The following is a 27,407-nucleotide window of genomic DNA, read 5'->3' as shown; positions in this document are numbered from 1 at the left end:
TCTCCCTGGGAGGCCACGGCACCTCCCTGTGCCTGGGGCCTTCATGACTCGAGGGTGTCTACCCCAAAGCTGCTGCAAGCATTCAGAGAGAGAAGTGCCCAGGGCCCAGCAGAGAGCAAGCCCTCCACACGTGTTTCTCTCCCTCTTCTTTCAGAAGCAAGATGGGGGTGGGGACAGTGGCTCAGAGCAGGACTGGGAGAGGCTCTCTTGAAAGGCCTGGGTTGTAATCCAAAGAGCGGAGGAAGGAGAGGAAGCTGCTGGAGTTGCAAGATGGCTTCTGTTGCCATTGTTCAGTTGTTTGCTTTCCTCCTTAGAGGTGCGGACAAGAAGTAGCAGAGCCAAGGCTCTGGGTGCCTCTTCCATGTTCCCTCCATAGTCCTTTCCTCCTCACATGCTCACCACCAGCTCCCAGGTCCTCAGCCTGTGCAGGGCCTGTGTGCTCCACACAGACGTCCTCTTCAGATGATGCTCCCACGTCTTGGCTGTGGTCCTTTCTGGAAATTGCCCTTGGCCACAGAGAGCTGCCTCGCCCAAGCATTTGCCCTCCCAGGGGCTCCCTGAGGCCAATGCCCAGATGATGCAAGGATAATACCTTTCAATTTCATATAGGTCTTAAGATCATCTGGCCCAGAACGCCCCATCGGATCCACTGAAACTCATTGTGGGTGACCTTCTCCCTCCACCCAGTGCTGCCTTCTTCCCTTACTCGCAGATCATCTGGAGAGAACTCCCTAAGAGCCTTCTGCCCATGACTCTAGAAGGCCACCTCTAAGGCCCTGAGTCCCTTAGTTGTCTTTGGTCTTTGCCCCTCCAAACACAGCCCACTCATTTGACTTCCTAGGCACCCACTATCCACTAAAATGCAGCCATCCTGTATCCCAGTGACTAGAAAATGGGTGCTGATGGGTTAATATGGTGTCCAATAAAAATATTTACCATGATGGGAGCTGACACATGCACAGCTAGCAGTCTGCAAAGCACATTGACGTATGTTTTTTCAGTTGCAAGGCAGAATAGCATGGTGGTTTCTGAAGTGACTCTGCCTGAATTTGAATTTCTGTCCCACCACCTATGAGTCTTGCGACTTTGGGCCAGCTACATAAACTTTCTGTTGCTCTATTTCCCTATCTGTAAAATGGGGATAATAGTCCCTTCTTCAGAGAATGTTTGTTAGAATTAAATGAGTCAATACATATAAAGGTCTCAGAACTGCCCTGGCATATGGTAAGCACATAGTGTGCCTTAGCTGTTAGTATTTGATCCTCACAACAACCCTGTAGTACTACAATTTCTACCTGTGTTGGGTACTTCTCAAGACACTCATATTCTCAGCCCAGCTTTTCACCCCAGCTGTTTGTTCAGCCACCTGCTGGCACGGATGTAACAGCGCCTTGCTGAGCTGTGTGGCTTCTCTTACTTCCTGCTTGAGATGCCTGCAGAGCCCACTTGGCTGTTCTGACCCAAGCAGACCTGGAAGTGTGGGGGAGCTAATATCCCATGTGGCACCCCTTGATGCCAAGGAGGTATTGGAGCCAATGGAAAAACCATCCCTTCTTTTATTCCCTGAGAAGATAATCCAGAGGTATATTGTGACCCATCAAAATCCAAGTTCAGTTGCCCCAGCAGTAGCCACTCCATTAATGCATGCAGTCATGGCCTTCCCCCATTCCCCATTTCCTTGAGCCCATTTGCCCATCCATGCCTGTCAATGGAGCTCACGTCCCAGAGTAAACTGCCCAGACACCGGCCGTTGCCTCGTGGTCTGCTTTTTTTTGGGGGGGCAGGGCAGGGGGCGGGGCATCTAATTGTGCATAGGAGAAGGGTAAAAGAATAAAAAGAGGCATGTCCTAAACACCATGGAATACTATGCAGCCATAAAAGGGAACAAGATCATGTCCTTTGCAGGGACATGGATGGAGCTGGAAGCCATTATCCTCAGCAAATTAACACAGGAACAGAAAACCAAACACCGCATGTTCTCACTTATAAGTGGGAGCTGAACAATGAGAACACACGGACACAGGAAGGGGAACAACACACACTGGGGCCTGTCAGTGGGGCAGGGAGGGGAAAGCATCAGGATAAATAGGCGATGGGTTGACAGGTGCAGCAAACCATCGTGGCACACGTTTCCCTATGTGACAAGCCTGCACGTCCTGCACATGAATCCTGGGACTTAAAAATTTTTAAAAAGAACCATACAGTAGAAGAAAGAAAAAAAAAGAGGCATGTTCAACATATATAATCAGATTTGGACTCAAGTCAGAGTCTTCCACCTACCAAATTTCATGCCCTCACACTGTGCCTGCACTCCCAGTTGATACATATGCATCTTAACAGAGGCCTTCCAGAAGCTTGATTAGGCTGCGGGAGGCCAAGGAGGAACACACTATGAACAGGTAGCTTCAGTTACTTTGATGTTCCTGCCCTTCTCCTGCCCCTGCATAGAGGCAATCCTGCATGGCAAGAGGGCGGTGAGCAGTGGCTCCACTTGGCTGAAGCCTGGGTCAGGGGCTTCACCTAACTTGTCTTTGTATTGCCAGCACTTAGCTCATGCATCAGTAACACTCAGGGTCTGGCACATAGCAGGTACTCAGTAAATGTTTGCTGGGTACATAGGTCCAGAACTCAAACTATGGGTGATTTGCTTCTTAATGATTACTTTCTATGTGGCCATGCCTGTTTCTATACTTATTATTTTTTTGCTGGTTTGGAACGTAATCTCTGATGGACAGAGAACTTGTTTTTGGGTGGAAGATTGTCTACCTTTTTACCAAGGTGAGTTAGTACAGAATTGTGTACCTAAAATTATTTAAGAAGCATTAACTATTTCTCAAAATTATTTGAGAAAACCTGAATATCAGGTTGATTGATGAAAGAAATCTCTAGGTGCTATCTTGAACTGGTGGCCTGTGGGATAAATGTAGCTCTAAGATATATGGGTTGGCCAGCACAGTGTTGATTATACTGAAGTTATTCTGAGGTATGCCACAGGGCCTACCACTTCCTATAGCATTCTACCTGTCCCAACTCTCAAATTTATGTTACCTGCCTAGCCCTTGCAGGTATATGGGTCTTGTGACCCCTACACAACAGGCTTCCACATATAGAAAGCGTTGAAGGAGCTGACTGGCACAGTTCTCTCCCTGGGCTTTTTTCTGACTTTTCCTGTGACTTGCTCAGCCCATCCTCTCTCCCATCAGCGGGTCCTCATGGTGATATGGTGTCTTGCCCTGTAGGTACTATAAGATCTCCGTGGTGCTCATGTGCTTTGTGGTCCCCACGCTGGTGCCCTGGTACATCTGGGGAGAGAGTCTGTGGAATTCCTACTTCTTGGCCTCTATTCTCCGCTATACCATCTCACTCAACATCAGCTGGCTGGTCAACAGCGCCGCCCACATGTATGGAAACCGGCCCTATGACAAGCACATCAGCCCTCGGCAGAACCCACTCGTCGCTCTGGGTGCCATTGGTGAGTAGGGGTGTTGAGGGCCAATGGGGAGAATGGTGGCCCAGGTTTTCTTGGCCTCTCAGTAGTTTTGTGGAATCAGTAAAGAGAAGCAGTGGAGTGGAATGGAGTTCAGTGAACTTGAGCTTTTTTTTTTTTTTTCCGAGATAGAGTCTCACTCTGTTGGCCAGTCTGGAGTGCAGTGGCACGATCTTGGCTGACTGCAGCCTCTGCTTCCTGGGTTCAAGCAATTCTCCTGCCTCAGCCTCCTGAGGAGCTGGGATTACAGGCATCCACCACTATCCCTGGCTAATTTTTGTATTTTTTTTTTTTTTTAGTAGAGATGGGGTTTCACCATGGTGGCCAGGATGGTCTCAAACTCCTGACCCCAAGTGATCTGCCCTCCTTGGCCTGCCAGAGGAGCTTTGGCTTTAGGATCCTGACTCTTGGACAAGTCATGTGATCTCTCTGATTTACAGTTTTCCTATCTGTGAAATGGGACTAGCAATGCTTACGTCACAGGAATATGTAAACTGCTTAGTACAGTGCCTGGCACGTAGTAGGTGATCAGTAACTAGTAGTTATTCACCATGACCATGGAAATGTTCTAAAGGAGAAGCAGCAGTTGACTCTTCTCTCAAACTGTCCTGACCATTCTAGCCTCAGCTGTCCAATCATTTGGCAGAGCTTAAGAAAAAAGGCCTTCAAACAAAGACATGGGAAGGAATGAGACTTGGCATTTCACGGGACCATGAAACAGTTAAGAGTGAGGCCTCTGGAGTCAGCGACTTTGGTTGAGTCCTGGTTCCTCCACTTACTCTCTGGGCAAGTCACTCGTTCTTCTGCCTTTCGTGTCCCTATCTGTAAAGTGGGGGTAATACTAGCACTTACCTCCTCCTGGGTCATTAGAGGGCTAAATGAGTTGATACAGAGTGTTCCTACCAGTGCTTGTATGAAACAAGCCTTCGTGATGTTGCTTTTTTTTTTTTTTTTTTAAGACGGAGTCTCGCTCTGTTGCCAGGCTGGAGTGCAGTGGCGTGATCTTGGCTCACTGCAAGCTCTGCCTCCCAGGTTCACGCCATTCTCCTGCCTCAGCCTCCCGAGTAGCTGGGACTACAGGCACCCACCACCACGCCTGGCTAATTTTTTTGTATTTTTTAGTAGAGACGGGATTTCACCGTGTTAGCCAGGATGGTTTCGATCTCCTGACCTCATGATCCGCCTGCCTCGGCCTCCCAAAGTGCTGGGATTACAGGCGTGAGCCACCGTGCCCGGCCCGTGATGTTGCTTTTATTGCTAGTCATGTGTTCTTAGGCAACTTACTTGTCCCTTCTTTGCATTTATCTCCTCGTTTTAATCATAGCAGGGATAATCATAGCAGTTACTTCAGAGGCCTCAGGCTAAAAGGAGTTAATACCTGTCAAAGCAAGGTGATTAAGAAATATTAGCTCTACCTTTGTAGAAGCAACTCAGACTTCTTGGTAAGCTGAGCCTTGAGCACAGAGATCAAACATAGGAAAGTTCCTACTGTTAAGTAGAAATGGTCTCTGTGTCACTCAGTGATGAGATTCTGCATCACTTCATTAGGGCCATCTGTTTTTCAGACCCCAGGGATCCCAAAGTTCTTGTCAACTTGCACTGATGGCAGCAATAGAAGGTGGAGTGAACACTACATTTAGCCAGGGAATAACTGCATAAGCAGGGAGAAAGTGCCTTGGAAAACAGGAGGGGCAGTGCCCCAACCCTTCCTATGGCTTTCCCCTCCTCTTGCCCTGCATCTTCTGAAAGGACTGTAATGAGGGAAGCCGTGGCCAGTGTTGATTCTGTGAGTAGACAGAAATGGGGACAAGATGGTCCGTCACCATGTAGGGATGGATGGGCCAGGAAACTCAAGCAGTATGGCCATGACATGGGCCCTAAGGAGCTAGGTATTGGTTATAAGTCTATCCAGCTCAACACTGGACTCCCAGACAGTTTGCCTCCCAAAAGTCCTTGGAAAGCTCTTGCCATATCCAGTTGTGCAGTAGAGTGGGGAGTACATCATAATGTCTGTTTCTGAAAATAGGGTGAAGAAACTTTTCCATACCGCTCTTTAATCCAGGAAAAACACTAAAAATGATGGGGGGGGGAGGTGGTGTGCAGGGTAGGGATGGCATAAATTTAAAAGAAAATTGCAGACCACAGATGGATCCATCTTGAGGTACTCGTTATAGAGCGAAATCCTTTAAACATGGTCAGTGGCAGAACTATGTGATGACTAGTAGCCACTTAAGAAGTAAGAAAAGAGTCTGACAGTTTCTCAAACAGTTAAAAATAGTTACTATGTGATCCAGCAACTCCACTCCTACATTTATACCAAAGAGAAATGAAAACATATGTCCACACAAAAACTTGTATATCAATGTTCATAGCAACGTTATTCATAATAGCTAAAAGTGGAAACAACACAAATGTCCATCAACTGATGGATGGATACGTACAATGTTGTACATCCATATAATGAAATACCGTTTGGCAATAAAAAGAATGAAGATCTGATACTTGATACAAAATGAATGAACCTTGAAAACATTTTTTATGTGGAAGAAGCTAGTCACAAAGGACTACATATTGTATGATTTTATTTTTATGAAGTGTCTGAAATAGGCAAATCTACACAGATAGAAAACAGGACTGGGAGGGAGTAGGAGGCGGTTGGGGGTGATGGCTAAGGCATGTGGGTCTTTTTGGAGAGTAATGAAAATGTTGTAAAATTGATTGTGGTGATGGATGCATAACTCTGTGAATATATTAAAAGCCATTAAATTGTATACTTCAAGAGGGTGAATTGTACAGTAAGTGAATTTTATCTCAACAAAGCTGTTTATGAAAATCAAATGAACTAATCCTTAGAGAAATGCAAATTAAAACCACAATGAGATATTACCTCACACTTATTTGAATGACTATTATCAGAAGGATAAAAGATAACAAGTGTTGGTGAGGATGTGAAAAAAGGGAACCCTTGCACACTGTTGGTGAGAATGTAAATTAGTGTAGCCATTATGGAAAACAGTATGGAGGTTGCTCAAAAAAATTAAAAATAGAGCTACCATATGATCTCGCAATCCTACTTCTGGGTATAGATCCAAAGGAAATGAAATCAGGATGTTGAAGAGATATCTATACTCCCATGTTTAAACAGGATTATTCACAGTAGCCAAGATGTGCAATCAAATTAAGTGTCCATCAACAGATGAATGGATAAAGAATATGTATCACATATGCATCATGGAATACTATTCAGCCTTAAAAAAGAGAAAATCCTGTCATTTGCCACAACTTGAATGAACCTGGAGGACATTATGCTAAGTGAAGTAAGCCAGGCACAGAAAGACAAACGCTGCACGATCTCACTTCTATGTGGAATCTAAAAAAGTTGAACGAAGTAGAGCAGAATGGTGGTTACCAGAGGCTGGGGCAGGGGGGTTGTTGAGAGATATTGGTCAAAGGGTACAAATTTTCAGTCTGACTAGAGGAACAAGTTCAAGAGGTCTACTGTAAAACATGGCGATAGTGACTACAGTCAATAACAATGTATTGTATTCTTGAAAATCACTGAGAGAGTAGATTTTAAGTGTTCTTACCACAAAAACATAAGTGTGTGAGGTAATGCACATGTCACTTAGCTCAATTTAACTATTCCAAAATTTATACATATCTCAGAACCCGGTGTTGTACATGATAAATATATACAAATTTTATTTGTCAATTAAAAAATAAGTAAAAGAAATTTAAAAAATCAAATCAGAGAAGCCATGAGAGCTCTCATGAGTACATCTTTTAAAAAAAGTGAGAGAGTCATGCAAATCAAAACCACAATGAGATACCATCTCACACCAGTTAGAATGGCGATCATTAAAAAGTCAGGAAACAACAGGTGCTGGAGAGGATGTGGAGAAATAGGAACACTTTTACACTGTTGGTGGGACTATAAACTAGTTCAACCATTGTGGAAGACAGTGTGGCAATTCCTCAAGGATCTAGAACTAGAAATACCATTTGACCCAGCCATCCCATTACTGGGTATATACCCAAAGGATTGTAAATCATGCTACTATAAAGACACATGCACACGTATGTTTATTGTGGCACTATTAACAATAGCAAAGACTTGGAACCAACCCAAATATCCATCAATGATAGACTGGATTAAAAAAAATGTGGCACATATACACCATGGAATACTATGCAGCCATAAAAAAGGATGAGTTCATGTCGTTTGTGGCAACATGGATGAAGCTAGAAACCATCATTCTGAGCAAACTATCACAAGGACAGAAAACCAAACACCGCATGTTCTCACTCATAGGTGGGAATTGAACAGTGAGAACGCTTGGACACAGGGCGGGGAACATCACACACCGGGGCCTGTCGTGGGGTGGGGGGAGGGGGGAGGGATAGCATTAGGAGAAATACCTAATGTAAATGACCAGTTAATGGGTGCAGCAAACCAACATGGCACATGTATACATATGTAACAAACCTGCACATTGTGCACATGTACCCTAGAACTTAAAGTATAATAAATAATAAAGAAAAGCTACATGAAAAAAAGTGAGAGAGTAAAAGCTGCCCACTGGCCACTGGAAGGGGTAGAATAATATATAAGTACATTCTAGATATTTAAAGATATTTAATTTACTTACCTATTTGAATGATTCTCATTTGTCTCTCTTGAGCTCTTCCAAAAAAGGATTTTTTAATCACTCCAGCCCACAGAGACTATTTTTTAAAAACAGTTGTACATCAAAACGATGATCTGTTATCAGCCATTTAGCATTTACCTTAAGAAGGATAGCTCTGAGGTCATGGTATCATGTCTGCAGTTCACATAGGAAAGTTAATCTTGTGACGATTTATTGCTATTTTTTCTGTTCATATTGTTTGTCTAGCTAACTAAGTCAATGCCTTTGGAGTCAGTAACCAAGTCTTTTGCTCCTCACAGAGGCTGACACCATGTCCTGCACATGGTAAACCCTGAAAAAATAGGTGATTCAAAACATCTATGCAGAGAGGTGGTGATTGAATTATATCAATGCCCGCTTTGTCTTCCAGGTGAAGGCTTCCATAATTACCATCACACCTTTCCCTTTGACTACTCTGCGAGTGAATTTGGCTTAAATTTTAACCCAACCACCTGGTTCATTGATTTCATGTGCTGGCTGGGGCTGGCCACTGACCGCAAACGGGCAACCAAGCCGATGATCGAGGCCCGGAAGGCCAGGACTGGAGACAGCAGTGCTTGAACTTGGAACAGCCATCCCACATGTCTGCCGTTGCAACCTCGGTTCATGGCTTTGGTTACAATAGCTCTCTTGTACATTGGATCGTGGGAGGGGGCAGAGGGTGGGGAAGGAACGAGTCAATGTGGTTTGGGAATGTTTTTGTTTATCTCAAAATAATGTTGAAATACAATTATCAATGAAAAAACTTTCGTTTTTTTTTTTGTTTGTTTTGTTTTTGAGACAGAGTCTCACTCTGTCACCCAGGCTGGAGTGCAGTGGCGCAGTCTCGGCTCACTGCAGCCTCCACCTACCTGGTTCAAGCAATTCTCCTGCCTCAGCCTCCTGAGTAGCTGAGATTACAGGAGCCTGCCACCACACCCAGCTAATTTTTTTGTATTTTTAGTAGAGACAGGGTTTCATCATGTTGGCCAGACTGGCCTCGAATTCCTGACCTCAGGCAATCCACCCGCCTCGGCCTCCCAAAGAGCTGGGATTACAGGCGTGAGCCACCGCACCCTGCCGAAAAAAACTTTTTTTTTTTTGAGACGGAGGCTCGCTCTGTCCCCCAGGCTGGAGTGCAGTGGCGAGATCTCAGCTCACTGCAAGCTCCGCCTCCCGGGTTCACGCCATTCTCCTGCCTCAGCCTCCCGAGTAGCTGGGAGCCAGCGCGCCCAGCCTAAAAAACTTTTCAAGTCAATATTACTACGATTTAACATTAGAGTGTGGACATGTGATTTAATCGCTATAGCTAAAATACGTCAAATATACGTTGTCATGTGCTTGAACATGATGCTAACCCTGACAGGATGAAGGAAAGTAATATTCTTTCAGTGTAGTTCAGGAGAGCATTTGTTTTCTTTTCTACCAATTAACCCATCATTGCTTTTAAACAACCATCTGAAGGAGCAGAGAGGCAGGGTAGAAGACAGAAGGGGGATCTATGTGGTAACTAAAGAATGTTTCTGTTTTGTTAATTATTGTGTGTGTGTGGTTTTATTGTTTGCTTAAGAGAATCAAAAACTGAAAAAAATGAGAATACAGGAAATGGCTCTTGTTTATTTTTTTGCTGTGTTTACAGCTTGTTAATGCTCTACTGTCTTTGTTTCAAGAGAGATTTGTTCACTGCCCAGCTCGTTTTGTGTCCTGAGCCCTATGGCCAGCCCACCTTATAAATCATGCCTGTTTAGATGTTTGATTTTGTTCTGTTTGCTATTGTTATCTTAAAGGTGTATAACTCTGACATGCCAGACATCAAATTAAGCTCAAATTAAGCTCTCGTTTAAATGTTTAAGCACCTAATTTATATTCTAATTGATCCCAGCCACTGATGCATGTACTTTAGCTACTTCTGCTAAATAAGCATATTAATTTTCCACATCAGACCATCAGATCTTGAGAACCAACAGTTATCTAGAATTCCGTGTCTACTAATGTTTCACCTGCATGCAGCCTTCATTAATTTTGTAGCAAAATATAAAGTGATCATTATGTAGCTTCTGGATTAAAAAAATTTGTGTGTGAAGTTGCTTTGTAAAGTGCATGTGGAATTAATGGGACAGTGTGCCCTTTGTGTTAGATGTTAGAGCAAAAGAAAGGGCTTATAGTGTTAGTATTGGAGCACTTTGAAGATAGATATTTTCAGAAAAGATGTAGGATTTAAAAGTTAAATTTTAAATTTTAGAAAAAGATATGATGGCAATTGGAAATAGTCACAATGAAGTTCTTCATCCAGTAGGTGTTTAACAGTGTTATTTTGCCACTGGTAATGTGTAAACTGTGAGTGATTTACAATAAATGATTATGAATTCATTGGTGTTCTTGTCCAGATACTTCAGTGCTGTTTAGAGAATGTTCTTTCCAGAGTGCTTGGTGCCTCATGATGATTGTATGACTCACATTGGGATTTGGGCTCTGGGCTAACAACAGCCCCTGAGACCAGCCCCTGAGACCAGGCCTGTCCTATCCTATCGGCCTTAGGCAACAGCCAGAGGAAGCCAGCAAGTTTTATTTGGAATGTAGAACTCCCAGTGGTATTGTTCCCTGATTCTCACTCACCAGCAGCCACTGGGAGTGCTTATAGATGATAATTGGGAATCTACTCCTATATGTCACCCAAAGGAGCATGAAGGACACCTTCCCCTCTCCAGGCCCCACCAATAGTTACCAGAGGTGGGGGAGATGGACTCCTGTTTTCACTCTAGTCCTGCCTCTCTCAACCTCACCTCTGCACCACCAAAGTCTCCACCCATCTTTTGCCCCAAAGCAGCTGTGGCTGTACTGTCAGGTAGAAGCTTCTTAACGTGTCTGCAGTTGAGTGGGATTCTAGCCATTGATGGGTACCAGGCTAGATCACATCATGTAAGGACCCTTTGGATGTGACCGTAGCATTTTTCAGCTGCTTCATATCCCAGTCACACATTGCTAAGACCTTGTATAGAGCGCAGGTGGAGGGTAGTCACATTCCAAGATAAGTTTGTATCAGCATGATGTGAAATGGCCCTTAATTGGGAATGTATATGTGAACCTTTGACTCCTAAAAGTACTAAACTTACTTACTTGTCCATTAGTCAAAAAGATGACATTTGGAACAGCTATTTGGAATCTTTTTACAAAAGGAGGGTATTTCCCAGCTAGACCAAATAAATCTAGAATCTCCTTCCTCTGAACCTGAGTGCCATCTTTTTTTCTGCAGCAGAGCCATGAATGACCTCGGATTGGAATGATTTGGAGGAAGAGTTGGACAAAGGTTAGATTGCACTAGTGTCTTCCCTGTTAACATTCCTTTCAGGTCTCAGCAGCATCTTAACAGAAAGTAGCTCTGGGAGTTATTTCCCAAACCTATCCAAGGTGGCCTTAGACTGATACATTGTTTGAAAGTTTCAGTTTAAGATAAAAAAATGGTCCCCCCATGTCCAGTCTTTAATCTCCTCATCCTCACAAGGCTTATTTCAGAAGCACCCACCCCTGCATCTAGGTGAAGGGAGCCCAGGGAAAGCAATTCCAATAGCATGTGTCCCACAGGCGTCATGGCAGAGTCATGGAGCCAGCCTGGGACAGTGGAGCCAACTCAAGTTCACCTCGAGTCCCCAACTCTGCTACTGGCCAGCTCTGTGGCCTTGAGAAACGTCAGCCTTTCTGGATTCAGTTTCCTTCTCTGAAAAGAGAGGACTCTTCTCTAAGGTCCCCTTCAGCCCTAACATTCGACCACAGCAACAGAGATGAGTCGGGCGTGTTCTCATATGCCTGACTTCAAATTCGAAACACCTCTCAAGTTAGCACTCATCCTTTCTGGACATAGAAGGTCAAAAATTGGGAGTGGGAGGGAGTAAGTGAATCTGAATGGGAGAACACAGACTGAGGCTGGAAGGATAGAATGTTCTTGGTTTTAAAAAATCTGCATATATTTTGTGCATTCCTAAAATGCAATAAAGCAATTAAATATAACCCATCATGAAAAACAATTTAATGAGAGAAATTATTACAGAAAGCTCTACAGCTTAATGGGGTAGTAGAAATAGCACTGGACTTGGAGTCCTGAGACCTGGATTTGAACTCTAACTCTTGATCTGACTGGCTGTGTTACCTGGGACTCAGGTTAAGGCTGAAATATGACATATGAAATTGTCATTTACTAGCCTGCGGAGCCTCTCTGAGCCTCAGTGTCCTTGTCTACACGACAGGAAGAGCAACATTTATGTGTATTAGATGAATCTGGAAGCCTCATCCCAGTGCCTGGGGCATTGCAGAGCCCTGGGAGACATCAGTTGAGGGTGAGTAGCATGCCCCACACACAAGCCAGAGACTGGGATATGGTGCAGAGAGCCATAGACCAGAAGTGAGCCAGCTTCTGGGCCTGGTTTTGCTAACTAACCAGATGGCTCTAACCTCTGGGAACTTTGGTTTCACTTTCCATAAAGGACCAACTGGATTGGGTTAACCTGTCCAGCTCTGCCGTTCTGGGGAGTCTTTGCAACCGTGTGCCTCCATCAGTTCCAGGCCTCCGCGTGGCCCTCTGCACCCCTGGCCTCCTTACTGTGCCTCGCACCTGTGTCAAAGGACAGGTCTGGCCTGCAATGTCCCTATGCTTCAGTCAGCTCATCAGGACCTGGAATAGATTTGTGGAGGGGAGAGGTTGAAACTCATGGATGAGAGTAAGCATTGGGGATTATCTGTGAGGTTCATTTGTCCATTTCACTCCTGTCCCCAATTACAAAGGGGACTGAAAACCAGTTGTGTTCTCAGTGGCTGAAAGAAATCTCCTAACCTTTATAATCCTTTCTTAAAAAATTTTCCCATTTTTGGCCAGGTGTGGTGGCTCACATCTGTAATCCCAGCACTTTGGGAGGCCGAGGCGGGCAGATCACGAGGTCAGGAGATCGAGACCATCCTGGGTAACAGTGAAACCCCATCTCTACTAAAAATACAAAAAACTAGCCGGGCATGGTGGCAGATGCCTGTAGTCCCAGCTACTCTGGAGGCTGAGGCAGGAGAATTGCTTGAACCCAGAAGGCGGAGCTTGCAGTGAGCCGGATTGCACCACTGCACTCCAGCCTGGGCAACAGAGTGAGACTCTGTCTCAAAAAAAAAAATTCCCATTTTTAGCTTAGGGTGTTAATCAAACTCCTTCCCCTTCCTCTACGTCAAGGATGTGCTATAAATGAACTGGAAACTCCTTTCCTTGTTCCCTCTGCTACTTCCCTGTGGACTGTAGAGTCCGAAGCCCCCATCCCACCCCAAGGATGTTCCTGACTTCTACATTTGCAACATCAGAAGCAGGAGGAGGGAAGGCCTGTCTCAGGGCAACAAGCCCGGCTGTCCCAGCAGCTTCTGTGGGCTCCGACACAGCCTTCTTTCCCTCTCCATTCACCCCCCGACCCCGTGGTGCCACGACTCCCCATCTGGAAGAACAGTCAGCCACATCCTGCCTGTAACTGCTTCACAGGATCCAAAAGGAAAATATCAGCTAACAGCAGCCTGGGCTAGCTGGGGCTGTGAAGACTTTGCCCTGCAAAAGAGTACCCTTCCTTACAGCTGCTGGCCTAGGTTTACTATGGAAAAAAGATGGCATTACCTTCAACCAGCCATCTGAATCCCTCACAACTAGGGATCTACTAATAGCTGCCCTCCTCCCCACTTGTTCTCAATCCTCTATGAGGCAACTCTCAATGTTACCATTGAATCTCAGAAGTTGCTTGCTTGCTTGCTTTCTCTTTCTTTCTTTCTTTCTTTCTTTCCTCTCTCTCTCTCTTTTTCTTTCTTACAAGGTCTCACTCTGTCACCCAGGCTGGAGTGCAGTGGCGCAATCTCAGCTCATTGCAACCTCCCCTCACTGCAACCTCCACCTCCTGGGTTCAAGCAATCCTCCCACCTCAGCCTCCCCAGTAGCTGGGACTACAGGTGCATGCCACGATGCCCGGATTTCTGTTGTTGTTGTTGGGGGTAGAGATGGGGCTTCACCACGTTGGCCAGGCTGGTCTCAAAACTCCTGACCTCAGGTGATCCGCCCGCCTTGGCCTCCCAAAATGTTGGGATTACAGGTGTGAACCACCATGCCCGGCCAGAAGTCTCAGAAGTTGCTTTCTTCTAGAGGTACCAACTGTGAGACAGAGCTGGCAACCCCTGTGCTGTGGGTGGACAAAATGACTGGGCCCACCACAGCAAGGGTGTGTTTGTAGTTTTATGACCAGATTTCACATAAGCCTGTGCTCACAGCACATGTATCGCAAAACACAGGAGCTGTGTGTAAGGGTGCGTTCTTATTCTGAGCTGTGTGGCCAAGCTGCTGCGTGGGGTCGGGGGAGCTCCCTATAAAGTACATGATGTGAGCATTGGTGGAGATGAACTAAGCTAACTGGGATCTCCAATGTCTCAAAGACAGCATGTGTCCCACAGGCGTCATGGCAGACTCATGGAGCCAGCCTGGGACAGTGGAGCCAACTCAAGTTCACCTCAAGTCCCCAGCTCTGCTACCGGCCAGCTCTGTGGCCTTGAGAAACATCAGCCTTTCTGGATTCAGTTTCCTTCTCTGAAAAGTTCCTGACTTCTACTCTGCAACATCAGAAGCAAGAGGAGGGAAGGCCTGTCTCAGGCAATGTAGGCAATATCTTCCAGTTCCAGTAAACAGGTTCTGACACCCGAGGCAGAGGGATAAGGAAGATTCACTTCAGCTCCTTCCTGGCCCTGCAATTGCTGCCCATGAATCCAAGAATGGCTTGATCAGAGCTGACTGAGTGCCTTCTATTTCCTCCTCGGAACTAAAGGGCACTTTCATTTCTAGCATCATAAAGTGCTTATTTCGGATGTGCCAACCAATGAGCACATCTGTCTGCACTGTTGTCCACAGCTCCTGCTAGACTGAACTATTTGCAACACATGGGATCCAAACTCTTTGAGTCAGTGTGTTAGAATGTGCACACAGCTGCACCATGGCCAACCAGTGGACAAAGGATCTCAAAGTGGGTATTTTGGCCTGGATGGTTTCAAATAATTAACAGTGAATATCTTTTTTTTTGAGATGGAGTTTCGCTCTTGTTGCCCAGGCTGGAGTGCAGTGGTACAATCTCGGCTCACCGCAACCTCTGTCTCCTGGGTCCAAGCGATTCTCCTGCCTCAGGCTCTGGAGTAGCTGGGGTTGCAGGCATGCACCACCACACCCAGCTAATTTTGTATTTTTAGTAGAGATGGGGTTTCTCCATGTTGGTCAGGCTGGTCTCGAATTCCCGACCTCAGGTGATCCGCCCGCTTCAGCCTCCCAAGGTGCTGGGATTACAGACGTGAGCCACCATGCCCAGCCAACAGTGAATATCTTGATTTTGCCTCTATGTAGAAAATCTTTAAGCAATGGCCCTTTTCACCACCTTTTCAATCCATTTGAAGCCAGAGGCTTGGGTCAGTCTTAAGACACTGAAATGGACAGGCCTTTTTGACGTAGTTTTGTTTATACATTACCTGATTCTTTGGCCTACCTCTACACCACAGAGGAATATTCGGATTGTTACCTTGTTAGGAGACAAACAGCCAAAGGAAAAATATTGAAACCTCTGTTCCATCATCTATGTATGTAAGAACTAGAACCAGTGACTGCTTTGTTCTCTTCTTCTATTAAAAACTATGGGAATCAGTAGCAAACAAGCTTAGAAAATGCAAGCTTCTGCTTTACCCAAGCAAAAGATATGGCCAGAAGCTATACCAGCGTTATATCCCATAAAAGAAAAAAAACTGGCCAGGCACAGTGGCCATGCCTATAATCCCAGCACTTTGGCAGGCCAAGGCGGGTGGATCACTTGAGGCCAGGAGTTGGAGATCAGCCTGGCCAACATGGTGAAACCCTGGATCTACTAAAAACACAAAAATTAGCTGGGTGTGGTGGTGCGGGCCTGTAATCCCAGCCACCGGAGAGGCTGAGAATGGAGAATCACTTGAACTGGGAGGCAGAAGTTGCAGTGAGCCAAGATGGCGCCACTGCACTCCAGCCTGGGCAACAGAGTGAGACTCCATCTCAAAAAAAAAAAAAAAGAAAAAGAAAAGCAGGGAAGAGGCTCAAGGTCATTGTGCCGAGGGATGCTCAGCTAACCTGCCCCATGTCAAAGCCTTTCTTTATGTAAACAGCTGTAGATTGACATAGAATCATGAAGCTGGTAGATATTCATGGCATGCCATTTGGATGGCTAGATAGTTCTAAACAGTATCACTTTTTGTTTTTGTTTTGCTTTGTATTGTTTTGTTTCTTAAATTTCTATCTAAAAGATGTCCTTAAAATGAGCATTGCTATGTCCAAGAAGTTGCAGCATTATAATTCTTGGAAGTAATAATTTGCTTCAAAGTAAGGTCAGTCACCATCACATGCCATAGTGATTTGTCTGCCAAAGTTCTATGCAGCATACTAGAACTTGGCTGAGCGTGCACGAAGCTCAACTAATTAAAACCTTCTCAACAAACTTGTCTTGGTTAGTTTGTTTGATACAATATCCTTTGTTGTAACATTCAGTCTGGTTGTTTTTCCATTTGCTTTAAATTTAGCATTGCCACATAAAAAAGAGACAGAGAAAATAGGACAGCTTGAAGAGGTGTAAAAATATAATTACTCTTTTGAAAGTATGCATATTTATCTATTTTTTGCTAACCCCCGTCTCACTTGTCTTTCCACTTGGCTAAATAGACGAATGTTCCTGGCTCATGGATATACAGCACTTATGGGTTACTTCTAATTGAGAACATCCCTTACTGCAATTTCTATGCCACTGATTTTAGTACATTTTAAAAATTTCTTTTGCATCAAAAAGGAAATCAAATGAAAGCATATCAGGCTTGAAAGACCACTGGTGGTACTGTAGAACTTCCACAAGCCAATCTGCAAAAACACTTCAAATCTCTGAAATTTTGTTCAACAGGAAGGAAGGAAGGGAGGGAGGAAGGGAGGGACGGAAGGAGGGAGGGAGGGAAGGAAGGAAGGGAGGGAGGGAGGGGGGGAGGGAAGGAAGGAAGGAAGAAAGGAGGGAGATTCATCAAGAAGTATTTTCCCAAACTACACCTAGTTGTGACAATATTTGGCTCAATTTTATAAATCTATTACAGCTGCATCTACAAAACAATATGCTAATAATTCACAACTCATATGTAAGAGCCATGCAGACCATGACTGTCTTCTTCACCAGTGTTTTCCCTGCCCACATGACAAGGCCTGAGAGGTGGGATGTGCTCACTAAAAATTTACTGAATGAATGAATGAGTGAATGAATGGGTAGATGCACTGTACTACAATGCAGAAAGAAAACTCTGCCAGTTCTGGTGGCTCACACCTGTAATCCCAGCACTTCGGGAGGCCAAGTTGGGAGGGTCTCCTGAAGTCAAGAGTTCGAGACCAGCCTGGGCAACATAGCAAGACCCCATCTCTAAAAAACAAAAAAGAAAAGAAAGAAAATTCAATTTAGTATTTCTGTGTCTCATCTTCTGTTTGCCCTGTTAAATATGAAACTGCAGGCAGGCAAGGCCCTCATTTGTCCTGTGCACAGTTGTATCCTAAGCGCCCAGCAGCAAGAGCTTACCATGTAGCAAGACCTCCAAAATTTTTGCTGAACTGTTGGCGTTTATGAATATGGATAGGCCCTTCTCTTGGAAAATTGTTGACCCAAGCCTGGCACGGTGGCTCACGCCTGTAATCCCAGCACTTTGGGAGGCCAAGGAGGGCAGATCACCTGAAGTTGGGAGTTCGAGACCAGCCTCACCAACCTGGAGAAACCCCATCTCTACTAAAAATACAAAATTAGCCAGGCGTGGCGGCTCGTATCTGTAATCCCAGCTACTCAGGATGCTGAGGCAGGAGAATCGCTTGAACCTGGGAGGCAGAGGTTGCGGTGAGTCGAGATTGTGCCATTGCACTCCAGCCTGGGCAACAAGAGTGAAACTCCATCTCAAAAAAAAAAAAAGAAAAGAAAAGAAAAGAAAATTGTTGACCCAGAAATCTGAACTTACAAAAGTAAATAAATTAGAAGACAATTCTGAATTTTACAAAGTATTTATTACGGGTTTCCTTTCATAAGCAGGCCTTGAAAACATGCCTTAACTTTAAAGTCTTCATGTAACTTTTATGAAGAACATGTGCCATAGGATGCAAGATACAGCTGACTGCCAGGACTGTGCAATCACAGAGCCATTTCCAGACGGTCAGAGTTAGAAGGCTGCGCCTCCCTGCCACTAGGTCAACCACTAGGCCACAAGCAAAAGACTCGGCTAAGGAGTGAAACAGGCAATGGCAATGTTATGGGCTGGATTTTGTCCCCTCAAATTCTTATGCTGAAGTCCTAACCCTCTAGTACCTCAGAATGTGACTAGAGATAAGGTCTTCAAAGAGGTAATTAAGTTAAAAAGAGTTCATTAGGATGGGCGCTAATCCAATCTGACAGGTGACCTCACAAGAAAAGGAGATTAGGGTACAGATACACACACAGGGAAGAATGCATGAAGTCCCTGGGATAAGGCAGCCATTTACAAGCCAAGGGAAAGGCCTCAGAAGAAACCAGTCTTGCCGACAGCATGATCTCTCATCCTCAGAACTGGGAGGAAATACATCTGTGTTGTTTCAGCCACTCAGTTGGTGATCTCTATTACAGCAGTCCTTAGCAAACCGATTTAGACAGGTAAGTGGAAATGTCTTCCTTTAGACTCCCTTCTACTGTTTTACAGACTAGAAGGATAATATAGAAGTGTCCAAGTTCCAGGCGAGACTATCAGAAGGCAAAAGCAAACGCTGCCTCCTGCTCTTTCCCCTCCGCCCCACCCACTCCGCCACCCTGTAATTGTCATCTCGGCTGGGTCTCTGTCTCCATTGTGCCCTGAATTAATTCTCCCTGGATGCGAGGTGGTGGTGATTCCACAGAGAGAGCTGCCTTACAGATCAGCATCACGTCAGTGTCCCAACAGAAAACAACACTGGAAAATTATTTGCCTTTCCTTTTAACAATCAACAAGAATTCACTTAGCTCCCACTGTGGTGAAGTCAGGGGACCGAACCTAGCAGGGAGATGGGTATAGTTTCTGACCCTTAGGAAGGAAACCCATCTCCCTTCTCATTGTCCAAATACACTCACGTCATTTGGACATTTTTCAGCAATTACTTTTGCAAACGTTGTAGAAAAATAAGTGACTTAGTAAGTCCTGAGCCTTCACTTAAGAAATTGGCCTGGGCCTTACTGAATAGGGGGTAGAAGAGGGAAATGGTCCATGTGTACTCTTTTATAGACAAAAAAAGTTACATTCTTTCACTGAAAAAAGGCCAACCATCATCAAAACAATTTAATACATTCTACCTCTTTAATAGAAGCTCAAATCAAATGTCTCACTCAGTCAAACTGAGTTAGGAGAGAAGCCATCTGCCGGCTCCCAGTTCAGCTCCAGCAGGACTGTTTTGAACACCATCGGCTGAGTCCTGTTCGTATCACTAAAAAATTATCTTAACTGCTCGCTGCAAAAAGTAATTTGCCCAGCATTGTCCATTCCTCGGAAGCAGAACTAATGTTTCCTGTGGCTGTGAATGGCTGTGAAACAGCATCACAAGATAAATGCCTACAGGCAGCTGGAGAAAGTGAGCTGCCATCAGAGAGGAGTCCTCTGACAGAAGTGGTGAGACCTAAGGGTCACATGCAAGGATAGCCACAGGCCACTCTGCAAATCAATAATCAAGACCCTGAAAGAGGGGCAGTTCTGGGAAGTTTGGGCTGCATAGGCAGGTGCATAAGGAGCCTCAGGAATGCTGCTGGATTCAGACTCTGGTCCCTGTGTCACCTCTCACCCTCATGTATAAGGCCCAGGAAAGTAGAATGTGGTGTGTGTGCATGTGTGTGGTGTATGCGAGTGGGCACTCCGTTTCTGAAGTGTCTCCTACCTTTCCCCCTTCCCTCCTCTCCCCTCCTCTCCTCTTCTCTCTCTCTCTCTCTCTCTCTCTCTCTCTCTCTCTCTCTCTCTCTCTCTCTTTCTCTCTCTGTCTGTCTGTCTCTGCACTCATTCCTAAGGCCCCTGATTTGGCAGTGGAGCTACTGACGGGTGGAGAGAGATCCTTTGTTAGCTGGGCAGTGACTCTGGGGTGCAGACAGCTGGGGAGAAGCTTGACAAGACAAAGAAACATCTCTGCCTGTCTCAGGCCTTCCCCACCACTGGATTCTCTCTCCCTGGGAGACTTTGCTCCTTCTCCAAGGCTGCCCTGGTGTGCCGCCTGTGTTTGCTGAGCCCCTCCACCCTGCTGAACACCCTGGGAGGCTGATGGGCATGCATTATACCAACAAGCTGTTCCGGATGAAGAATGGGGAGCATTGGCAGGATGGAGGGAGGAGGGTGAGGCGCAGGTGCTTACTCCCCGACTCCCTCCCTTCAGGGAGGCTGCATCCCCACCTGACAGTCTGTACTCAGGGCTGATGAGGTCAGTGGGGCCCCTCTCTTCCTAGTCTGCTCTGTGGCTGTGGGTGCTCTACCCGCTACCTGTGCATTCGGGAGGATCCCACGTGGCAGCCATGGAGGTGCACCTCTCAGATCTTCTTGCATGAAAGAACTTGCCATTCAGCTGCAAGGCTGCAGTGAATTGACTGCCTTCAACCTTCAAGATCAATTTTATGGTTGTTCTTGCTGCTGCTGCTGCTGCTGCTGCTTGCCACGCTCTTTCCGAACAGCCCCAGCTAATGACTGAATATGATGGGGATACAAGGGCCGGGGGTCCTGACCATTTCTGTGTGACAACAGAGACTCCTCTAACTGGCTGTCTTTGCTCCTGCTCCTGACTGGGTTGGTTAAGACTCAGTCAGATCAGACTCATGCTCTGAGCTTCCCTGGCCCAGTCCTGCTTTGACCCTTCTTTTTTATTACAGGTGATTTGCATCAAGACTGAAGGTTTTCCCTGTTCATTCCTACTTCCTGCTTCTTTTATCTTCCATAGACATAACCCCTAATAAATCCTAACTTCTAACTAACTCCACACTCCTAACTGCATCCCAGCATCTACTTCCCAGAGAATCCAGCTAGCACATGGTTTGATTAAACTCTACTCAAATCACCCAATTCGATGGTACCGTCTTTCCCATCAGGCCCCTGACTGATGCACCTTGACATTCATTTAGTGAAATTCCACATGGGTTAACATATTGACTTGGGGAGAAGACTCTCCTGAACCCTCCCAGGCTGCCCTGTTATGTTTGTGGACAAAGAAGAATGGAACTCCTGGACCATAGTTCCTGTGGGTTCCTGGCTTCCCTACCAGCCTTCCTCATCACCCACATCCAGACTCCCAGCCAGTTCCTCCAGGCTTGTAATGGGATCCTGAGATAACAGGCAATGCTGGAGAAAGGGGGAGAGGCTGCTGGACTGTGGGAAATGAGCAGTGACAGTAATGAGAACCACATGTCTCAACAGAAGCTTAGAAAAGCACATTTAATCCTAATCAATCAGAAGAAAATGTCCAAAGTCACCGAAGCAGTGAGGCAAAAATAGTATTGAGAAGGTTCAAAGTCTACTCAGAACCCCTGGAATCCAAACTTGTCACTCACTGGGAACTGGGCTTACTGGCCTTCCCAGGCCTGATGTGTGCTCTGAAGAGGAGAAGATTAAGAAGCGTGCTCTCTGCAGGCAGGATGGCTGTGAATTGCTTGGCTTAGGACATGGGATGTCTAATGCACTTTTGGGAAATATCTAGGTTGGTAATTCCCAAATCTATTTTTACAAAACCTTGAGAATTTTATAATTCTCACCAAGATGAGATGGGTGCCACAAAATCCTAAAAACTAAACTGACTTAGTTATAAAAACTGAGTATGTCATAGAGAGTAGGAAGACAGAGCCTGCGTTTTTGAGGGCTCTTCTAATTTCAAAAATGCTGGCCTGTTAACAAAAAATGTACTTATTATCAAATAGTATATCTTCTTTGAGGTTCAGAAAATTGGGTCCTATTGTCCATGCAGCATTTTTAGGATAGGTAAAAAGATGGGGGAAGGAGAAGTATGACTGAACTTGAAGTTCTCAAACTTCAAAAATGCTAAGATTCATTCCATTCATATCAGTTCTTTGTTCTTTCATGTAACACATGAAACTTAATGATCTTCACTTAATGTCCCCCACCCCCAAATCCTTAGAGTTGTCATGATTTGTTGATTTGAGGGGGGAACATAGGGAAATGCCAAGTGGGGCAGAAACAGCTCCAGTCCTCAGACAGCAAGGCGAACCCTAATTACCAGGCACCTTGGCCCAGGCAGCTTTCAGACTCTGAGCCCCTTCACCTGGGAGCTTGTTTCTCACCTTCAGATGGAGCTGAACTGTAACCGTAACTGTATTTGAGTCAGGATCCACATTTGTGACAAGGACTCATTCCTACCTTATGCAAATTTGTCCCTGAACAGCAGCAAAAACTTAGGAAATCTGCAGGCTGCACTGATCTTCCCCCCCCCCGCCCCCACTCCCCTCCCATGGAACCTGGGCCTGACACGGCAGGAGGCTCTGTCAGGGGCTGAAACGTTGGTGCAAGCCATTCCCTCCATACTTCTGCTCTCTGCAGTCTTTAGCCACCTCCCCAAAGGCAACGCTCCACTCCCTACTCGCCCTCGCCTCTCTGCTCGCCTCAGTGTTCTTTTGTAATTTATTTCCTCTGACTCTTTCCTTCACTGAATAGAGCTCCCCTGTCCATTTTCATTGGTTTCTAAACTCCCATTGGAAACAAACACTTTATTTCAGCCTTCCAGGATAGAAGCTGCTCCACTCCATCACCCCACAATCATTAGGGCCAGTGAGGGGAGATAAATACTCTCCTACTGGCCATTTCTCATTGGTATTTCCAATCCAGCACGTCTCCACTCTCAGGCGAGAACCTCTGCCCTTTGGCCCTCCTCCCCTGACGTGTACACGTTCACATACATGCCATTTTCTTCTTGTTCCTCTCACCCTTAGCCTCCAAAACATTCCCCCTTAGACACTATGCATCTTTCCATCTGACTTATATACATTCTGTCTACCTCAACCTCCAGGAGATAGTTATGTCTGTATGAACAATTTATCTCTACCAGTTAGAATTGGTTTGACTGTACATGAAATACCCAGCAAAGTGGCTTAAATAATACAAACCCTCTCATATAGTCGAATCAGGGCTAGAATGGTGACTCCATGTTGTTTAAGGACCCCTGTCTTTTTGCTCCATCATCCTAGCCTTGGTTTCCATCCTTAAAGTGGTTCATGGTCCAAACTGGCTGAAAGGCTGGAAGAAGAAAGGAGAAGAAATGGCAAATGGGCACACCTTCTAGGTGACTGCTCACTTTTTTTCCTTGTGTCCCCCCCCTTCCCTAGCCAGTGATTTTTACTTACACATACTTGGCCACCCCTAACTGCAAAGAAAGCTGAGAATTGTCAGCTGGGTCCGCTGCTGTTCTGAATAAAAGCAGGGTTCTATTAGTAATGAACAGGCAACTAATATTACTGCATGGTAGTTCCAGACCAGTGTCATTGACCTTCGTCTCTCCTCCAGCAACCTATTCCTACAGCCATTCTCTGAACTCTGCTCCCCGAAACCCTTTTACATCCTGATCTGTCTAATCTGCTCTCCAGCCCTCGCCGCCAACCCTTGCAATTCCCGTGCTCTCATTCCCTGTACGTCTATTCTTCCATCACATGGAGAAACCACACTGAGTCCCTTCAGCCTTCCATTTTCCCCCACTTATAAGATGTGGTATCCATTTGGGTCCCCTGAGAGGCAGACACCAAGCAGGAACTCTATGTTCAAGAGGTTTGTTGAGGGAAATGCCTGTGAGGACAAAGGGCGAGGGAGCAGGGGTAATTAGGAGAAGGCTTTAACCATGGTGCAGGTCTACCTCTGCGGAAGGAGAGCGGGAAGGGAAGGAGGGATTGAATGGGAAGAGCCTCAGACCTCAGCAGAAGTTCAAGAAAATCTCAGTCAGGTCTCTGGAGAGTCCCTGAGCCAAAATGTCCCATTAGAGGAATGCCGTGTTGGGCAGAACTGGCCCAGATCCAATGCTCCCTCTGTGTTCCACATGTGGCCCTTCTACCACCACCGTGTTTTACCTACATCCCTGATCATCCACACACCTCTCCTACAGTCTCAGCAGAGGCTCTCTTGCCTTCCTGCCTGTGTCCTTGATTGCCTGCATCCTATTTGCTCCAGGTCCTTGCTTCATTAACTAGTCCATTTGCTCCTACTTCTTTCACTCTCTCAGGAAGGGTAACAGCAGGCAGATGCAACAGTGCAATGGGCTCAGGGAATGACAAGGGAATGACGGCTGGAGCAAAATGTGGGAGGTACATAATAAATGCTCAATAAATATTTATTGAATGAATAAACACATATTTTGTCTCTTCCAGAAGACCTCAAGCTTTTTGACTATGTCACATTCATCTCTATATTCTACCTAATAACTCACAGGTATTAATACAAAGTTGTCATGCTAGGAAAGTCGAACTACTAATTTCTTACTGTATTAGAAACAAAATTATTTTTCCAAATACCTCATTTCACTGACTGCCTGCTATGGAACGTATCAGAAAATAGGTGCTTAATGAATAAATGTTTGTGTAGTTAAGCTGAATGGGAAATAAATCTTTCACTCTCTGGGTATCACATGCATATTAATGGCATTGGACAAAGGGAAATGAACAGCGGGAAGCCATGATTTATCCTCCCAAACCTCTTGTCTACCTCTAGTATATCCACCTTTCAATACTTTATGATCTTGAACTGATCTTATCTATCCCATAAATACTTTATGTCAGAACTGATTGTAACCAACAGGATATTACAGAACTGCATGTCATCAGATCGCACTGTTTCTCTCTTTGGATGATGATATTCAGGGCTTTGGATGCCAACCAGAAGAAGCTGTAGGAATTGGCACAGATCCAGAGCATGGACAAGGACTTACACTTCTGCTGAAGGCAAAGGAGAAACAGCATTATCTAAAAAGCAACCAAGACTTCAGGGGTGAGCAGTAAACGGGGCCAGAGTCAGGGACCCCTCTCCCTCAAACATGGAATAAGGAACACTTTTCAGAATCGAACTATAGAAATGCATCCTGCAAGGGTGGAACCAAAAGATTCTTTCAATCAAATATCAGGGAATAGTTTTGGGTGAAATCAGGCCCCATTTGTGTGTAAAGTTGCTATAGACACTCTACAAGATATTAGTATATCAGGCTGAGCACAGTGGCTCACTCCTGTAATCCCAGCACCTTAGGAAGCCAAGGCAAGTGGATCACTTGAGGTGAGGAGTTCGAGACAAGCCTGGCCAACATGGTGAGACCCCATCTCTACTAAAAATACAAAAATTATCCAGGCATGGTGGCGCATGCCTGTAGTTCCAGCTACTCAGGAGGCTGAGGCATAAGAATCTCTTGAACCTGGGAGGCGGAGGTTGCAGTGAGCCAATATCGTGCCACTGCACTCCGGCCTGGGCTGCAGAGCAATACTCAGTCTAAAAAAAAAAAAAAAAAAAAACAGTTATTAGTGTATCCAAAGAGGGAAAGACAAAAGGAGATTCATCAGAGGGAAGGTGGACAACATGAACTACAGGTTCTGCTATGCGGATCTTGTATTGTCTGTGCGTTGTACGTACACTAGCCCGTGTCTTCCTTCTGCAGTCCCAGGGGCCATACTCCTATCCTAGATGTCCCTCATCAGACTCTCAGAAACTAATGCCAGTGGATATGTGGACTGTCATTTCCCTTACTCTGATTCATGCTCAGCATGCACTCTTGTCATTATAATTTGATTTCTCCTATAGGATGAGAACCCACTAACTATTACAGTCCACGTGTCAGTCGCGTTTCTCATCGTGATTAACACCCCAGCCATTGATTTGCTCTTCAGTGTCTAGTGAGCAAGGCTACTGTGAATCTTTCCTCAGGAGGACTGATGGAGTCACATTTCTGAGCCTACAGAGCTGAGGGCAAGACCTGAGAATGGTGATGTCAAAATGCCAACCAGCGAGACCTCTTGGTGGCCAGGTATTCAGCCAGCCTTTTCTTGGGCCATTCCACAATCTTGATTGAGACTTTTTAAGATGTCACCTTGAGATAAGCTGTGTGAATATCCAATTTAAAAAGGTGCAGAAGGATACTCTGTGTGTATATATGTGTGTGTGTGCATGCATGCGTGCTTGTGTGTATACATGCATACATGTCCAGATAATTGTAGCTTCTTAACAACATTAGGAACCTCAAATAGAATAGTTGTGATGGTTAATATGAGGTGTCAAGTTGATTGGATAGAGGTATGCCTGGATGGCTGGTGAAGGATGGTTTCTGGGTGTCCCTGAGGCTGTTGCCAGAGGAGATTGACAAATGAGTCTGTGGACTGGGAGAGGAAGATCTACCCTCAGTGTGGGTGGGCACCATCCAATCACCTGCCAGTGTGGCTAGAACAAGGTAGGTGGGAGAAGGTGGGATCGGTTTGCTTGCTGAGTCTTCTGGCTCTTTCTTCTTCCCCTGCCAGGTGCTTGCTTGTGCTCCTCCTGTGCTTGGACATCAGACTCCAGGTTCTTCAACCTTTGGACTCTGGGACTTGCACCAGCGGCTTCCCAAGGGTTCTCAGGCCTTAAGCCACAGACTGACGACTGTACTGTCAGCTTCCCTGGTTTTGAGGCTTTTGGACTTGGACTGAGCCACTACTGGCATCTCTCTTTCCCAGCTTGCAGACAGTCTATCATGGGACTTTGCCTTGTAATTGTGCTAGCCAATTCTTCCTAATAAACTTCCTTTTATATATGCATATATCTTATTTGTTCTGTCCCTCTGGAGAACCCTAATACAGAAGTCAATTCAACCTGATCTATCACATGATCTTTCATTAAAGTTACACCTTTTATTACTAGAGGCTCCTCAAAGTAAATGTTGGGTGAATGAGTGGGATGGATGGAGAATGGAGAATGGATGGATGGAACGAAAACAAAGCTATTTAGTTTTGGCTTTGAATTTAATAGCTCAAGGGTATTAGTACAAGTTGCTGAGCTAGGAAAGATAATCTACTAATTTCTTACAGTATTGGAAACAAAATTATTTTTCCAAGTGCCTCATTTCATTTAAATGGTGACTTTAGAGAATAGCTAAATTTAAAATAGAGCCAAATAATAGACTACCACAGATTTTCCCTAAACAAAACAAATGAGAAATTATCTGTTTAAAACCCTTATACTGGAAGACAGTGGCTTAAGCAAAGGAAAAT

General features: G+C 45.3%; 1 protein-coding gene and 1 long non-coding RNA gene across 3 annotated transcripts in view; both read left to right on the top strand.

The window, feature by feature from the left end:
* Window positions 1-10,524, top strand: part of SCD5 (stearoyl-CoA desaturase 5) — a 169,258-nt gene extending 158,734 nt beyond the window's left edge. The window contains exons 4-5 of the mRNA NM_001037582.3: window positions 3,240-3,472; window positions 8,546-10,524. Of these exons, the coding sequence (NP_001032671.2) occupies window positions 3,240-3,472; window positions 8,546-8,736 (424 nt within the window). The 3' untranslated portion in view covers window positions 8,737-10,524. The remainder of the gene's footprint in view (window positions 1-3,239; window positions 3,473-8,545) is intronic.
* Window positions 10,525-18,625: 8,101 nt separating this feature from the next.
* LINC00575 (long intergenic non-protein coding RNA 575) lies at window positions 18,626-26,950 on the top strand. Of its 2 annotated transcripts, none has more exons than NR_024088.1 (4): window positions 18,626-18,851; window positions 25,044-25,170; window positions 25,969-26,191; window positions 26,679-26,950. It is a non-coding gene; the product is annotated as a long intergenic non-protein coding RNA 575 (long non-coding RNA). The 2 variants fall into 2 exon arrangements; NR_024087.1 differs by having other exon boundaries at window positions 24,982-25,170.
* Window positions 26,951-27,407: the final 457 nt, after the last annotated feature.

The sequence above is a fragment of the Homo sapiens genome, chromosome 4, assembly GCF_000001405.40.
Source record: "Homo sapiens chromosome 4, GRCh38.p14 Primary Assembly".
In the NCBI taxonomy this organism is placed as follows: Eukaryota; Metazoa; Chordata; class Mammalia; order Primates; family Hominidae; genus Homo; species Homo sapiens.
This window is presented reverse-complemented; position numbering and strand designations above follow the sequence as displayed.